The following is a 15,649-nucleotide window of genomic DNA, read 5'->3' as shown; positions in this document are numbered from 1 at the left end:
CGATCAAAACGGGGACTCATTAAGGTCTGTACCCGCTTCTTCCGCTGGTGAAATTAGCGTTGCGTTGCATCCTTTCACCTCCGCCCTTTTCTAGGTAGAGTAACCCTTAGTATAATGCAACGAAACTGTTACAAGCAGATCACACGCTATACACTGCAACCACCCCCTCCCCAGCTCTTCAGTGCTCAGAACTCCTCAGTCCTAATAGCAGCGGTCATTCTCTCTTCTCCCGACCTCAAGTCAGAAGAACTAGTTAGAACCCAGGCCTCTCAGTCCTACTGACCAATTGGCATGAAGACCCTCAATCTCCATATGCCAGTTCTAAAAAGCCAATCAAACGCCTAACCACCAGTGGGCCCCCAGATGGAGCAATCAATCAGAATCCAGACCCATCCCAGACCTCCCATCCAATTAGAACCCACAACCCTCAGTCCTAAGGATAAATAGGCACCAACCCTTCATCTCTCTTGCTTTCTCTCCTCTGTGTCCCACTCAGAGCAACCAATCAGAATGGGGATCCTTCAGTTTTCCAGCCAATCAGGCCTCCCCCACATCCAACTATGCAATCTGTCCCTGCCCTGATCAAACCAAGCAGGACCAGGATCCTGCCATCTTCAGGCTCATCATCTAATCAATCATAAACTAACCATGAACCAATCACAGTCTGCTCTCTCTTCATGGTTTCCAGCTTCCAAACCTTTATCCATGCTGTGCTCCCTTCCTCACTCATTCCTATTCCCCTCTGAGCAGTGAAGAAGAAGCCTATTGAATATTTCCTACTTTTATTTGACAATAACAAATTGTATATAAAAAGGAAGAAGGAAGGCGGGGAGGCCCTGGATCTCCCCTTCTCTGTTTCCCCAAGCATCCCCCTCTAGGCCCCAGCAGGCACCACCCCCTTCCTGCCTTGTGGTGGGGTGGGGATTGACAGGCATGAAAATGGTGTGATTTTGTGTGTGTGTGTGTGTGTGTGTGTTGAGGTGTTGGGGGTCAAGGATGGAGGGGGTCAAGGAGTAGAGAGAGGGCCTTCCCTCATCCCCCATCAGTGGCACCCTGAGAGGGGTCTTAAGAGGGTTATGAGGGTCCACAGATGTGCCTCAGCCTATGAGACGGTAGAAGATCCAGCATCCAAAAGTGACCCAGTGACTGGCCCAGCTGAGCTCTGACCACTTGTGGACAGTGTATGCCATGCCGTAGCCCTGTGGGAGAGAAAGAGGTGATGGTCCCACTTAGCAAGGACAAAGAAGTTCTTAGGAAAACCCATCCTTTGCCCAAGGACATTTCTGTGACTGCTCTAGGCGAGGCCCCGCAGAAGGGCCTAGGTACATATGAAAGGTGACCAGATATAGTTTTTGTCTTCTTCTTTAAAAATCATTTTAAAAACAAAGTGATCCCATTCTCTGACCTGTTATCTCCCTAATATATAAAGAGCTCCTAAAAATTAATTTTTTGGAAAGAAAAATTGCCAGAGAAGGTGAATAGGTCATTCCAGTAAAGGAAAAACAAATGGCTCTTAAACATATGAAAAGATGCTCAGCCTCATTAATAATCTTCCTCATTTTATTTATTTTCTTTTTGAGACAGGCTCTCATTCTGTCACCCAGGCTTGAGTGCAGTGGCACGATCTGAGCTCACTGCAACCTCTACCTCCCAGGTTCAAGAGATTCTCCTGCCTCAGCCTCCTGAGTAGCTGGGATTACAGATGCTGCACCACCATGCCCAGCTAATTTTTGTACTTTTAGTAGAGATGGGGTTTCACCATGTTGGTCAGGCTGGTCTCGAACTCCTGACCTCAAGTGATCTGCCTGCCTGGGCGTCCCAAAGTGCTGGGATTACAGGCATGAGCCACCCCGCCCGGCCATCTTCCTCTTTATTGAAGTGGCAAACATATCCAGGAAGTCTGAGAGGCACTCTGTACTGGTGGGGCAGCAGGCACATTCAGGCATTGCTGGTGGGAGAGCACAAAAGTACTACTCCATTGAGACTATCAACAGATCCTACAGATCTGTCCACACCTGTGTGGATCCACTTGGGTACAGAGTTCCTGCTGCAACATCACTTGCAATAGGAAAGGACTAGAAATTACCTGATGTCCACAAATAAGAGAAAAAATAAACTGTGTCACTTCCTCATAGTGGAAAAAATGAATGAGGACACTATATCCTGATGTGGAAGATTTTCAAAAATTGCAGAACAGTATCATTCATGTGTTATCTTTAGGGTAAAAACTGGCAAGGGGGTAGAATTAAAATATATTTTTATATTTGTTTGATATGCTTAAATTTTGGAAAGATATTTTAATAAAAGGATAAAAGTGGGCTCAGTGCGGTGGCTCACGCCTGCAATCTCAGCACTTTGGGAGGCTGAGGTGAGTGGATTACCTGAGGTCAGGAGTTTGAGACCAGCCTGGCTAACATGGTGAAACCCCGTCTCACCATGTAACCTGTAAGAGGGTAGGGGGCAGAGGGTGGGAGCAAATCTTTTCTCTAAATATCTTGAATACTGTTTGGTTTTTGAAGCACATGATAGGCATTCACTATTTTAAAATATTTTAATGAAAACAAAACAAAAACTTTATTTAAAAAGAAGCAAAAAGCCAGGTGTGGTGGCATGCATCTCTAGTCCCAGCTACTTGGGAGGCTGAGGTGGGTGGACTGCTCGAGCCTGGGAGTTTGAGGCTGCAGTGAGCTATGATTGTGCCACTGCACTTTAGCCTGGGTAACAGAGTGAGACCGTGTCTCAAAAAAAAAAAAGAAAAGCAAATCCCAGATTTTGCACACTTAACCTGAATTAAAAACTTTTTAATATCAAAAAACACAAAGTTTTGTTTTTGACTGAAACCTAACTAAAAGAGAAGCAAAAACCTGGATTCTGCAAGAGCCATATGAATAAATGTTATTTTTAAATTGTTCTTAATTTAAAAAGGAGTAAAATCTGGTATTTGCATACTCAACATGAACAAAAATAGTGCATACATTTTAACGAAAAATTTTAAAGTGCAGAATCCAGGGTTTGTACACTCAACCTAAGTAAAATAAAATATATATTTTTTTGGCCGGGCGTGGTGGCTCACGCCTGTAATCCCAACACTTTGGGAGGCTGAGGCGGGTGGATCACCTGAGGCCTGGAGTTCAAGACCAGCCTGGCCAACATGACGAAATCCCATCTCTACTAAAAGTACAAAAATTAGCCCAGCATGGTGGTGCGTGCCTGTAATCCCAGCTACTCAGGAGGCTGAGGCAGGAGAATTGCTTGAACCCAGGAGGCGGAGGTTGCAGTGAGCTGAGATCGCACCATTGCACTCCAGCCTGGGCAACAAGAGCAAGACTCCGTCTAAAAATATATATATATATTTAAATTAAATAAAACAGGGTGCTCATGCCTGTTATCCTAGCACTTTAGGAGGTTGAGGCAAGGGGATTGCTTGAGCCTAGGAGTTCAAGACCAGCCTGGGCAACATAGGGAGACCCTGTCTCTACAAAAAAAATTAAAAAAACATTAGCCGGGCTTAGTGTCATGCACCTGTAGTCCCAGCTACTCAGGAGGTTGAGGCAGAAGGATGGCTTGAGCCCAGGAATGTGAGGCTGCAGTGGGCCGTGATCACACCACTGCACTTTAGCCTGGGTGACAGACCTTGTCTCAAAAAAAAAAAAAAAATTAAGAAGTCTTGCAAATTCTACCTAAACAATAATGAAGTGAAATAATTAACACAAGTAAAACCTGGATTTTCCACTCCATCTCTATAAAGTGATTTTTTTTTTTGAGAGAGTCTCGCTCTGTTGCCCAGGCTGGAGTGCAGTGGCATGGGCTCACTGTGACCTCCACCTCCTGGGTTCAAGTGATTCTCCTGCCTTAGCCTCCCGAGTAGCTGGAATTACAGGTGCATGCTATCACGCCTGGCTAATTTTTTATATTTTTGGTAGAGACGGGGTTTCGCCAGGTTGGCCAGGCTGGTCTTGAACTCCTGACCTCAAGTGATCTGCCCACCTTGGCCTCCCAAAGTGCTGGGATTGTAGGCGTGAGCCAGCATGCCCAGCCTAAAAGTTATTTTATAAGTAAAATAAATAAACATATTTTGCACACTTCACCCAAATAAAAGACCTAACAGTGTGACTCAAGCAGAGGGACTATGGGAAAGGACCGAGGAGCACTGGCTGCCCAGGCGAAGCAGCACAGTCTGAGGAGCTCAGGCCTCAGCTTCCCAGCCTTTGTCCTCATGGTTTCCCCCCGCCAGATAGCGCCACCCTTGGTTAACCACACAGCCCAGGGCCCCACCTCACCTGCTCCTCTGTGGTGTCATCCACATCGACATCAAACAGGGAGCCCAGGTAGGCCAGGTGGAAGATGGCCAGAGCTCCAAAGAGCAAGTTTAAGGCTCGCACCCCCAGGCCCTGTGGGGGACAGATGGATATACTTGGCAACTGGACCTACTCACTGTGTCCCACCTCCTCCTGCACGGGGGAGCCCAGGGGACACACAGGGCACAGTGGGTTCCAGGACTGAGGATGCCCAGGGTACCCCCTGAGATAGGGAAGAGATGGTTCAGGGAGCCTCCTATGCAGAGGCATCCAAGATGAGGGTACTGTTCACAGTGAGGGCATCCTGGGTTGGGGGAGGTGCGAGTCTCCAGGCAGAGGAGGAAGAGTGGCAGGGCTTTGAGTCAGGGCTTTATAGTAATGAACGGGAGTTGGGTGGGAGACAAGTATGAAGTTGTCTGTACTTCTTATTGCAAACAGAATGAAAAACACACAACAAAACCAAATCCCCACCATGATCTAGAGGGCCCATGCCTCCCACCCATCTCCCCTCCTCACCCTACCTCTGCTCAAGCCACCCTGGCTGCCTTGCTATTCCTCAAAGATTCCAGGCCCTCTCCTACCTCAGGGCCTTTCCACTGGGTGTCTCTCTGCCTGGAACGTTTCCCTCTCTCACCTCCTTCGGTTAAAGGCCTCAAACATCACCTCACCAGGGAGGCTTCTCTGACCTCCCTATTTCAAATGGAAATCACCCCCATACTTCCCGTCCCCTTTGCCCTACACATTTTCTCCTTAGCACTACTTGCAATCTGACACACTATTATTAGACTTTACTGACTCATTTTTTATCTACTGTCTGCCCGGTTAAAATGTTTGTCCCATAGGGCTGGGACTTCAGTCTGTTTCATTCACCGTGTCTCCAGCACCTAGAGCACCAACAGGCACTCAACGGATGTTCACTGGGGGAAACGAATGCCAGGTGTGTATACAGCAGATGCTCGATAAATGCCTGTTAGGGAAACGGATGCCAGCGAATAGAGGAGAGGTTATGGGGATGGCTCAGGCACCAAAAGAAGAAGGTGGGCACCCTGAGACACATACAAGATAGAGATAGAAGGAACATTTTTGACAGGGAGTGTTGGGCACAAGGTTGCCCAGGCTGAACCCTCACCAAGCGATGCTGGTGCGAACAGTCTGGCGGGCACCGCTTTGACAAGACACAGGCACTGAGGATCCGAGCCAGGCGCTTCCGGAGGACTAGGGTGGTGGGGAGAGGTAAGGGGGTCAGGTTAGCCTCAGGGGAGGCTGTCTCCAGCCCCCCCACCAACCTTCTATCCAACGGCTGGGCTGGGCCCTGCACTCACCATGCTCCACGTAAGTGATAAAAGCCAGGGACAGCAGGACCGCAGCCAGGTGGAAACTGAAGCCCTGGGGGAATGCAGATGACAATGAAATGAGTGAGGAAGAGGCCCTGCCACCCGCCCCCACCCAGCTTCCACCCTGATCCTGCTCCACCCTGCTCACATGTAGGAGGGCGCTGGCTGCATAGGTGACCAGCACAGCCGAGAAGGTCCCCAGGCGGAGAGCATTCTTGAAAACATCTGGAGGGGAAGAGATGTGGGATAAAATTCTCCTGAAAGTCCCCCAGCCCCTCCTGGAGGGCCATCAGCAGGATGAGAATACCCACAACCTGTTGGAGCCCCCAGGATAAAGTCCTTAGATGGCCTCAAACTTCACATGCCCAAAGCCCAGCTCCCGATCTTCCCAGCCTGCTCCTCCCAGTCTCATCAAGTTCAGTCAATGTCAACTCCACGTTTCCAGTTCCTCAGGGCAAAAACCTGGGAATTACCCTTGATTTGCCCTCCCCAAACTCCCACATCCAAATTCAGCAAATTGTGTGAGTTCCACCTTCAGAATATGCCAGAATCTGAGCTCTCCTCTCCACATCCACTGCCACCACCACCATCACTGGCCTGGATGATGGCAGCGGCCTCCTCACTGCTGCATCCTCGATCCCTCTTCTCAGTCTGTCCTCACAGCAGCCAGAGGGATCCTGCTGCAACCCGAGTCAGCCCAGGGCCCTCCTCTGCTCAGAGCCCTGCCGTGGCTCTCATCTCTCTCAGAGAAAAAGCCAAAGTCCTCTCCATGGCCCATGAGGCCCTCCGGGCCTTCCCTGACCTCACCGCCTGCCACTGGACCCTGGCTCACTCTGCTCCTGCCCTGCTGGCCTTCTTGCTGTTCCCCACACACCAGGCAAGTTCCCGCCTCAGGACCTTTGCACCTGCTGTCCCCGCATCTGTTACAATCCTCCCCCATATATCTGCGCTCCCTGCTCCCTCACCTGTTTTGCATCTTTGCTCCAATGTCACCTCCTCAGGGAGACTTGCCCTGGCTAATTTTTTTACAATTGCAATACCCTACCCTCCCCACTCCTATCTCCTGCCAGCACTCCTGGATCACCTTTACCTGCTTTTTTAAAAATTTTTTTTTTTAACCATAGCACTTATCAACACCTGAGCTATTATGTATTTTTTTTCTCGTATTTATCATCTGCCCCCCCAGGAGAACTGCAGCTCGACAAGGGTAGGGATTTTGGGTGCCTAGCACACAGAAGGTGCTCAGTAAATGTTGTATGAATGTATGAAAGGGCCTGGATTACCAACACAGCTGGAGTGGTGACTTGGTGACTCACAGTTATTTAGCCAATAAGACATGGGCAGGTTCCAGCTTGTGACAACTTCCACCATTGACCGAGGCAGCTCCACATTCAGTGGCTTGGACACCGTCAGGTCCCTGGGGGCAGAAGAGATATGCAAATCCATTTGGGATCTCAACTCATCTGACCGCCACACTTCTGTCTTGGCCGTTCCCTCCCCTGGGAGCACCCGCCCTCCTCCCTGCAGCTCCTCTAGGCAGCACCCTGTGGGAGAGGGGGTCCCCAAGCCCCCCCACCATTCCAGGTGATCCTTCTCCTCGGTAAAGCCAGCCCCCGCCAACGTGGCCGTGGCCTCGGAAAGAAAGCCCACAAAATAGTTGCTGAAGTGGAAGGAGACAGCACTCTCGTAGGCTCGCAGCCACCTGGGGAGAAAGGGGCAGGGGTGAGAGGCATCACGTTCAGGTCCCAACATGATACCCCACCACATGTCAGCATCCTGGGCCCCGCTCTGTAGACTCACCTTACCATGGTGCCCCTAGGGCCCCCAGGGGTCAGGAAGGCAGCAGAGAAGAAAGAAAAGAGAGTCAGAGAGGCCCTGGAGGCTGGTCTGAATTGTTCAGACAAGACAGATGAAATGTAGCCACAAAAAAGGTGAACTATGATAGTCACACACAGACATCCACCCTCAGGCAGTTAGTCTTATGTGGCTCAAATGGATGCATGAGCTATCCTATAATATGGCATGGCCCTGCAGGCTCACGTGGCCAGACGGCCAAAGCCAGCCACCATCAGAGGCCCGACTTCACAGACCTGCACCCTCTAACAGCCAGACACAAATCTTATCAGACTCCCAGCCTTGCAATGCTCTAACCTGACTCAGCGACTACAGGACAGCCAAAAATCCCTGAGCTGGGCACAGAGACCATCAAACACCCTGCTGTGCACACACACACCCCCCCTACTAGTTGTAATCAGACATGGTCAAAAACAGGCAGCATCCTGCGTTGGAAAAAGCATAGGTTCTGAAGTTAGGCCTGGGATTCATGCCTGGCTGCTTAGCTGGGTGACACTGGTCAAGTCACTTGACCTTTTGGAGACTCATTCGGCATTAGACCTAATCAGCAGCCAGGGAGTAGGGGAGGGGCCATACAACCAAAGAGCCAGATCAAACCCTATAGTCAAACTAGAGGCAGTCAGTCCTGCAGACAGGCACAGACCAGAGTCGGGTACAACCCCTCAGCTAGACAACACCAAGCCATCAGGGAAGGCAGACACACAGGCAGAGGTAGTCCATGAACTCCACAGACAGGCATATGACATGCCACAGTCAGACCCATTCCTGGCCAAAGCTACAAAAAGTCAGAATCTTGAACACAGATTTATCTTATCCAATGACAGCCACATACCCTATCACTGATGATGGCACAGCCAGACAGCCACACAGGCTTACATTCGGGGGTCAGTGGCCAATAGACAAACATACATCATACATATCCCTAGACAGAGTCACTGACAGGTTAAAGTCACCCAACCAACACATACTTGTCACTCTCCATGACAGTTAATATGACTTGCTTCTAACAGCGAGACAGCTGAACAGATGGACAGCCAGAGACAGTATGTGTTGGAGTGTCAGTCAAACAGAGTCACAGAGCCAAGCTTCGTCAGCCAGCCAGCCAACCACAGTCTCTGTCTAGTCATGGAGTTGACGGTCAGACACACTTGGACACACAGAACCCATTGGTCATGGGCTCTGCCCCCACTCATGTCAGCCCCACTCCACGTGCCCTCACACCTGCCCTCATTTACCTGGCTTTGCGTTTCTTGCTGTAGTAACAGAAGACAGAAAGAAGCATTAAGAGACAGGCTCAGAACTGGGGAAACCGCGGGTCCCTACCCAACCCCCTCATTGCTGGGCAGGGGCCTCGAAGGCTGTGCTCACTTGCGAAGGAGGCGGTCACCGTTGAGGGGGATGAAGTACGGGAAGAGGTAGGGGCCCACGCAAGTGGACAGCACAAGGCACAGCAGGGCCAGTGCCAGGCTCCGGGCCACCTTCTGCAGCCACCGGCAGCTCTGTAGGGATCAAGCACTCCATGAGTGCTGCCCCAGGGTGGCTCCCACAGTCCCTGCCCACCCATCCACTCAGGACCTCACCAGTGGGCGGCCTTGGACAGCTTGTAGGTAGCTGTGGAAGGATATCCAGGGCCCGAAGACGATGGTGCCCACGAAGTAGAGGTAGCCCATGAACTCCACTGGCGAGGGCACCGTACCCACCTCGCCCCGGTCCAGGTCGAAGCCCAGAGACACTGCCTTCATGGCCACAATCATCTGTGCCCCTATGTGTGGTGCCCATGGTCAAGTGGATGGGCAGAGAGCAGATCAGCATGGCAAGGAGGAGGTGCACCAGGTGAGATGTGGTAGGAAAAGCGGGCACAAGGATGGATAGGTGGGCATGGGACAGATAGGCAGGTGGGCAAGGAAGCCCAGGACAGATAGATGCCCTTACTCCAGAGAGTCAGGCACATACATGACACGAGACAGACAGACTTCGGGAAAATGCACGGTGGAAAGAGACACGGACCCAAGAGTAATGTGAGGTCTGCACGTCCAGTGGGGTGGGCAGGTGAGGGAGAAAAGCAGGAGAGGAAAGGCACAGGGTGGGGGCAGTTAGGAGACGAGGAGTGGGGCAGGGGGGTTGGGCAGGTGAGAGGGGCAGGGCTACCTACCTCGCATCTTGTGCCATGTCACGGTGTCTACCATGTGCATCTCACTGAGGAAAAAGGTGCTGGTCTTGGTCCCATGACACTCATGGCCTCTGAGACCATGGGGGACAGGGGAAGGGGGTCCAAGGTGCCCAGAGGGTTCTACCTCCTCCTGTCCTACAACAGTCTCATGGTGGAAAAATTCTCCCAGGCTCCCTCCTCCAGGGGGAGCCCATGCCCAACCTGTCCCTTACAGTCCTGTGAAAGGACAAATCTCCCAGATTCCCTTCTCCAGGGACACTCCACGTCCTACCTGTTCTGTGTCTCCTCATAGGCAAATGATTCTCCCAGACTCCCTTCTTTCTCCGGGGAATCTCACCACCCTCCCTGTCTTGGACAACTTCATATGGGGCCTGGGGACCCACCCATGCACTTCAGCCAACAGTGTGAGGATAAGGATGCATACTCATACCCCATGAGTAGGTAGATGAGGATGGTGACGGATAGGAAGACGCCTCGATGGGAGGAATGTCGGCAGAGGAACAGCACGAGGTAGCACAGGAGGCTGAGCAGCACGACCCAAACCATGTGCAGCTGGAAGAAGTGGTAGAGGCTGAAGAACCCGCCTGCCACGGTGCTTGCATGCTTCAGGTAGGATGGCAACCCTTTGGGTGAAAGGGAGAAAGAAAGGGAGAGAGAGAACGAGAAAGAGAGAGAAAGAGAGGGAGTGGGAGGAAGGGAGGGAGGGAGGGAGAGAGAGAGGGAGAACAAGAAAGAGAAGGTTGGTGGGCTAGTAGGAAGGGGAGGATGACCTGGGTAGAGGGCGTAGCCAGGGCAAAGGCCTTCAGGCTGGAATGTAGTGGGATTGGAGGGGCCCAAAGCAGGTGTTGGGGAGCTGGAGAGGGTGGCAGGGCCTGGGTTTAAAGAAAAGAAACATCTATAAAGGGCATTTGGGGGACCTTGGAAGAAATTCAAATATCAATTTATATAGGATAACATTATTGTATCCAGATTCAATGTCTTGTGGGGTGATGGTGGAGGATGTGGTTGTGGGAGATGATGTCCTTGTTCTCAGGGGCCACACACTGAAGGATGTGGGGTACAGTGTCATGATGTCAGCAGGTTATTCAGGCAATTCAGGAAGATGATAGATAGATAGATGGATAGATAGATAGATAGATAGATGGATAGATATACAGATAGATAGATAGATAGACAGATAGAGCCAGCTAACGTGGCAAGATGTTGACAGAGAATCTGGTGATGCATACGTGGGTGCTCACTGTACTATTTTTTCAACATTTCAGTAGCTTTGAAAAATTTCAAAATAATAAACCTGGGAAAAAATAGAACATCCATTTAAAATTAAAAAAGAAAGAAAGAAAAAAGAAAGTGTAGAACCTTCGGATCTCAGATTTCCAGAAATCTCCGCCTCCTATAGGAATCTTGGGGACTTGGAATCTTTCATTAAGATACAGGCCTGCTATGACTGTGGAAACATTTCAGAATCCTAGAATCCAGAAATCGCATCATGCCCTGATTATAGAAATCCACAATGCCAACATTTTAGAAGTCTAGAATGTGAGAATTTCAAATTGTCAGAATCTCCAAACGCTGTAATCATGGTACTTTGGGATTCCATAACCCTGTGACATCAGCATGCCAATGTCTTATAACCTTGGGATGTAGACATTTCAGAATCCCAAGATCCAAGAATCTCAGCTTTCTGGAATCCCAGAACTCAGGAATACTGAAGGGCATGGCTTGGCATGGCAGGATGTGGCTCGGTGTGGCATGGCATGGGGTGGCTGGCATAGTAGGATGTGGTATGGTGGAATGGGGTTTGGCCTGGTGGGATGTGGTGGGGCTGAACATGTTGGGGTCCAGCTTGGACATGCTAGGGCCTGGCAGGATGTGACAGGGTAAGGTGTGGCTCGATATGGATGAATGTGGGAGGTCTGATATGGCCTGGCATGGTGGCACACGGTATGGCAGGCACTTACCGAGCCTCCAGAGGAGGCGGCAGGCGAGGCAGATGGCAAGGAGCAGCCAGATCTGGTCAAGGCCCTGCTGGGCAGTAGGCAGGAGACAGCCTTGCAGTAGCTGCTGGAAAAATTCCTGGCGGCTAAAGGTGGCCATTGCAGACCCCCACGGATGGATGGCCAGATGGATAGATCTGTCAAAGCAGGGACACAGAGGGAGCGGGTGTCCGTGGGGCAGACCTCGCTTAAAGGATGCACTCTGGCACTCACATTTCAGTTTGGGGCTGCCCAGCCCATGTAGAGGCACGGTACTGGAGGACTGGGGGAAGGCGTGAGAAGTCAGGTACATCAGACTGAGCCACCAACTGTGTGCATGTGGGTGTTCGGCATGCACACGCACAGCCTGTGACCTGGAGTGAATGAAGGACCTCTGTCTCTCCAGTGCTGTGAACAGTCCAGTCCGATGGTGATGGGATGGCATACATTTCAGGCCCATATATCAAATGGGGCGGGCGACGGGAAGGGGAATCCCTGGTTTCCAAGGTAGAGTCGCTCTGAGTGGAGGGCAGAGAGGGGGATTCTGTGACACTTGGGGGCCGTGTGCATCTCTCCTTGTATGGATGCGGCGGCACGGGGAGGGGGGGTGTCCTGTATCCTCCGCGCCCCCCATCTCATCCCCACCCGGCGAGAGGCCGCCAACAAAGTCCTGCCCAGGTCCGGGGGCTGCAAGGAGGTGGTGGTAGGAGACATAGCCTGAGGGAGAGTCGGAAAGGTGATGGGGAGGGGGTCCTAGCACTCGCGCTACAGATCCGCCTGGGGAGGCCGGCCCAGGGATGGGAGCTGGGGAGCCGCGTGCGCACTACTGGCGACCTACCTGGCAGGAAAGAAGCCGTGGTCCTGGGGACCGAGGACGCGCTGCCGCCGCCGCTGCCTCCTCCGGGCAGCCTCCCCCGCAGGCCGCAAGGCCGGGACCAGCAGCGGCTCCCAGAGCGGCGCGGCGAGCGGGCCCTTTAAATCCCGGGGCGGCCCGGCCGCCGGCTCGGCCAATGGGAGAGCAGGAGGGGGGCGGGGACGGGGACGCGGAGGAGGGGAGCAGGAGGATTGAGGGGAGACCGGCGCGGGGGGACGTCGGCGCGCAGGACGTTCACGCCCGCACCTTTCCGGCCTGTGGCGGTTTCAGCCCCAGACCGTCTGCCTCCGGAGGATTTCTGGCCATCCAAGAACAAACTTCCGAATCTCCAAATTTCCAAGCCTTGGAAGTGAGAAGGGAAAGATGGGGGAGGGAGGAGGGAAGCCGCTGCACCCCCAAATAGTCACCCGCGCACGTCCTCTAAATACCGTGGTGTCCCCGTTTCACAGATGGGAAAACAAACCGAGATCTCTCCTTCCCCAACCTTTGAGAGAACCGAAGTAACTCCCAACCCTCCCACCTCCTGGGACCGGCCAGGAACATTTATAAGTAATGACTGTGTCACCTAGGAACACAAATTAGGCGCCTGTGCTTCCCCTGGGGACGAGCTGTGAGCACTTGGCGTGTCGTCGTTGAGAAGTGATTTGCATGCTTAATTCCCCAGCAGACTCTTTGCTTCGAAGGTGACCCCAGCGACTAGTAAATGTTCTCTGTGAACTAGAGGGAGGCTAGTACCGAGCACTTAAAAGGGGGGCATTTATAAAGCTCTTAAGGGCCAGGCTCGGTGGCTCACGCCTATAAACCCAGCACTTCGGGAGGCCAAGGGTAGGAGGATAGCTTGAGGTCAGGAGTTCGAGACCAGCCTGGCCAACATGGCGAAACCCCGTCTCTACTAAAAATACAAAAATTAGCCAGGCGTGGTGGCGCACGCTTGTAATCCCAGCTACTCGGGAGGTTAAAGCAGGAGAATCAGGAGGCAGAGGTTGCAGTGAGCCAAGATCGCGTCATTGTGGGCTACAAGAGCGAAACTCCGTCTCAAAATAAATAAATAAAGACTGGGCGTGGTGGCTCACACCTGTAACCCAGCACTTTGGAAGGCCGAGGCGGATGGATCACCTGAGGTCATGAGTTTGAGACCAGGCTGGCCAATATGGCGAAACCCTGTCTCTACTAAAAATACAAAAAATTTAGCTGGGCGCCTGTAATCCCAGCTACTCCGGAGGCTGAGGCAGGAGAATCACTTGAGCCCAGGAGACGGAGGTTGCAGTGAGCCGAGATCACGCCATTGCACTCCAGCCTGGGTGACAAGAGCAAAACTCCTTCTCCAAAATAAATAAATAAATAAACAAGAGCGAAACTCCTTCTCTAAATAAATAAATAAATAAAATAAAAAAGAAAGCGCTTACACTGGCCCCATCCGCACCTCTATCTGCACCAACACTAAAGATTTATGTAGCACCCGCCTTCTACCTACCCTACTGCTGCAGTTTCTAGGCATTCCCCTTTGTACCTAGGCTGATGAAGGGCCTATTTTTCCAAAAGAGCACTTACTGGGCGCTTACTGCACTACATGCTTAGCTGTGACGTGGAAGGGAGAAGGAAGCCCAGGTCAAACTGGACGCCACCCTGACCTGGGCAGCCAACTGAAACAGATTTTAATCAGATTAACAATGGCCTGTATGGAGCTGGGCAAGTCATGTTCACTCACCCGTCTCCATTGTCCTTTTCTGTTAAACAAAAGAGTGGGCTTGGCAGGTTTTTGCTGGGAAACACCAATGGTAATTGAAGAGAAATGTATATTTTCTCTCTATTTTAACATGAAGTTAAATGGAGTTCTAGCTCATAAATTAGTATTCATGTATTACAAACAAAAAACATTTAATACGGTAAGAATATGTATATATAAGGAATAATAGCTTAGACCAGATGCACAAATATCAATTCTTTTCCTTAACAGCAGAATACAGGACATACATTTTATGAATTAAATTTCATTTTAATTTTTTTCTCAGTTGTCAAACCCACTCAAGTTGAGTCAACAATGACCCACAGCACCTACCAGAAATACTTCCCTCAATTGCAAGACTTGGCATTTAAAACTGGAAGATTCTTACCACATGTGCTCCTGGGCTTTGCGGACTTGATTGTTTCCATCTAGGCTTTTGACCTGTGTCACAAAGAAGTAGGATCTAGGTTTTAGGATATATAACGAACATCTACAAATCCGAAGAGGACAAACAATACACTTGGCAATAGACATTGGGTACAAATAGGTAATTCACAGCAGAAGAAACCTAAAATGGTCAATATGTATAATATATGAAAAGATAACCCAATCTCTTTACTGCTCAGGGAAATGTAAAATTAAAACAACAGTGAGATATAATACCATTTTACATCTACCAGATGTTGTGCTTCATATTTTTATCACTGGAGCTTAGTAGAGGGTGGACACTCAATAAATGTCTGTGGTCATTCTAGGTTGTGGTTTCTGGGGTGTTTTAGATGAGCTCTCCATAATTAAAGAGATACAAATTAAAAACAATGATATACTATTTTTCACTTATGGGACTGACAAAAATGCCAAGCCTTATAATGATAACATATTTGCTCTCTCTCTGTCTCTGTCCGTTTCTTTCTCCCCATGTATATACATATGTAATTTACATATATATAATTTTTCTGAATGATATACAGTGATTTTTCTGAATTATTTGTTAGTGGTTGCGGATATGACACCCTTTTAACTAAATACTTCAGTATGAATATCCTAAGAGCAAGGACTTTTTTTTCTTTTTTTACATTGCTACCAGCATAGTATGAGGTTTCCATTGCTCCACATCCTCACAAATACTTGTTATCTGACTTTTTGGTTCTAGCCACCCTGGTGGGCATGTCAATAGTGTCCTTGTATAGGAAAAGGGAATCATAGGGTCACAAGATACATTCTGTTATCAGGTTTTTTTAGTCTCCTCCAATGTGGAACAATGTCTCCATCTTCACTTAACTTTCATGATCTTGATGTTTTGGGAGAGCACAGACCAGTTCTTTGGAAGAATGTCCTTCAATTTGGGTTTATCTGATGTCTCCTCATGATTAGATTTGAATTCTGCATTTTTGGCAGGAATTCCACAGAAGTGACG

The 15,649-nt window shown here is 50.2% G+C and overlaps 1 protein-coding gene and 1 long non-coding RNA gene across 23 annotated transcripts, besides 2 other annotated features; one reads left to right on the top strand and one right to left on the bottom strand.

Annotated features, from left to right (window-relative positions):
* Positions 760-12,582, bottom strand: PORCN (porcupine O-acyltransferase). 22 transcript variants are annotated; one of them, XM_047442360.1, is made up of 16 exons: positions 12,471-12,582; positions 11,867-12,150; positions 11,618-11,790; positions 10,087-10,279; positions 9,639-9,682; positions 9,067-9,248; positions 8,855-8,985; positions 8,722-8,739; positions 7,433-7,447; positions 7,209-7,334; positions 6,949-7,049; positions 5,781-5,857; positions 5,621-5,684; positions 5,428-5,513; positions 4,281-4,391; positions 766-1,199 (listed from the first exon to the last, which is right to left on the bottom strand). In XM_047442360.1, exons 2-16 carry the CDS (start codon positions 12,079-12,081, stop codon positions 1,098-1,100), a joined length of 1,638 nt encoding a protein of 545 aa, XP_047298316.1. In that variant the 5' UTR covers positions 12,082-12,150; positions 12,471-12,582; the 3' UTR covers positions 766-1,097. The 22 variants fall into 22 exon arrangements, 20 of the variants coding, with proteins under 20 accessions (NP_982300.1, XP_047298316.1, XP_047298320.1 ...); XM_047442364.1 differs by having other exon boundaries at positions 10,087-10,208; positions 11,997-12,150; XM_047442362.1 differs by having other exon boundaries at positions 12,025-12,150.
* Positions 866-925: a silencer, noted in NCBI's record as "silent region_20815". NCBI's record gives its function as "represses an Ori minimal core promoter by ATAC-STARR-seq in GM12878 lymphoblastoid cells {active_cell/tissue: GM12878}" and the evidence as "EXISTENCE:reporter gene assay evidence [ECO:0000049][PMID:35858748]".
* Positions 12,356-12,755: a silencer, noted in NCBI's record as "silent region_20814". NCBI's record gives its function as "represses an Ori minimal core promoter by ATAC-STARR-seq in GM12878 lymphoblastoid cells {active_cell/tissue: GM12878}" and the evidence as "EXISTENCE:reporter gene assay evidence [ECO:0000049][PMID:35858748]".
* PORCN-DT (PORCN divergent transcript) lies at positions 12,735-15,048 on the top strand. Its single transcript, NR_135596.1, has 2 exons — positions 12,735-12,855; positions 14,519-15,048. It is a non-coding gene; the product is annotated as a PORCN divergent transcript (long non-coding RNA).

This window comes from Homo sapiens, chromosome X (assembly GCF_000001405.40).
Source record: "Homo sapiens chromosome X, GRCh38.p14 Primary Assembly".
In the NCBI taxonomy this organism is placed as follows: Eukaryota; Metazoa; Chordata; class Mammalia; order Primates; family Hominidae; genus Homo; species Homo sapiens.
Note: the sequence above shows the minus strand (reverse complement) of the source record. Positions and strands in the feature narration are given on the sequence as shown.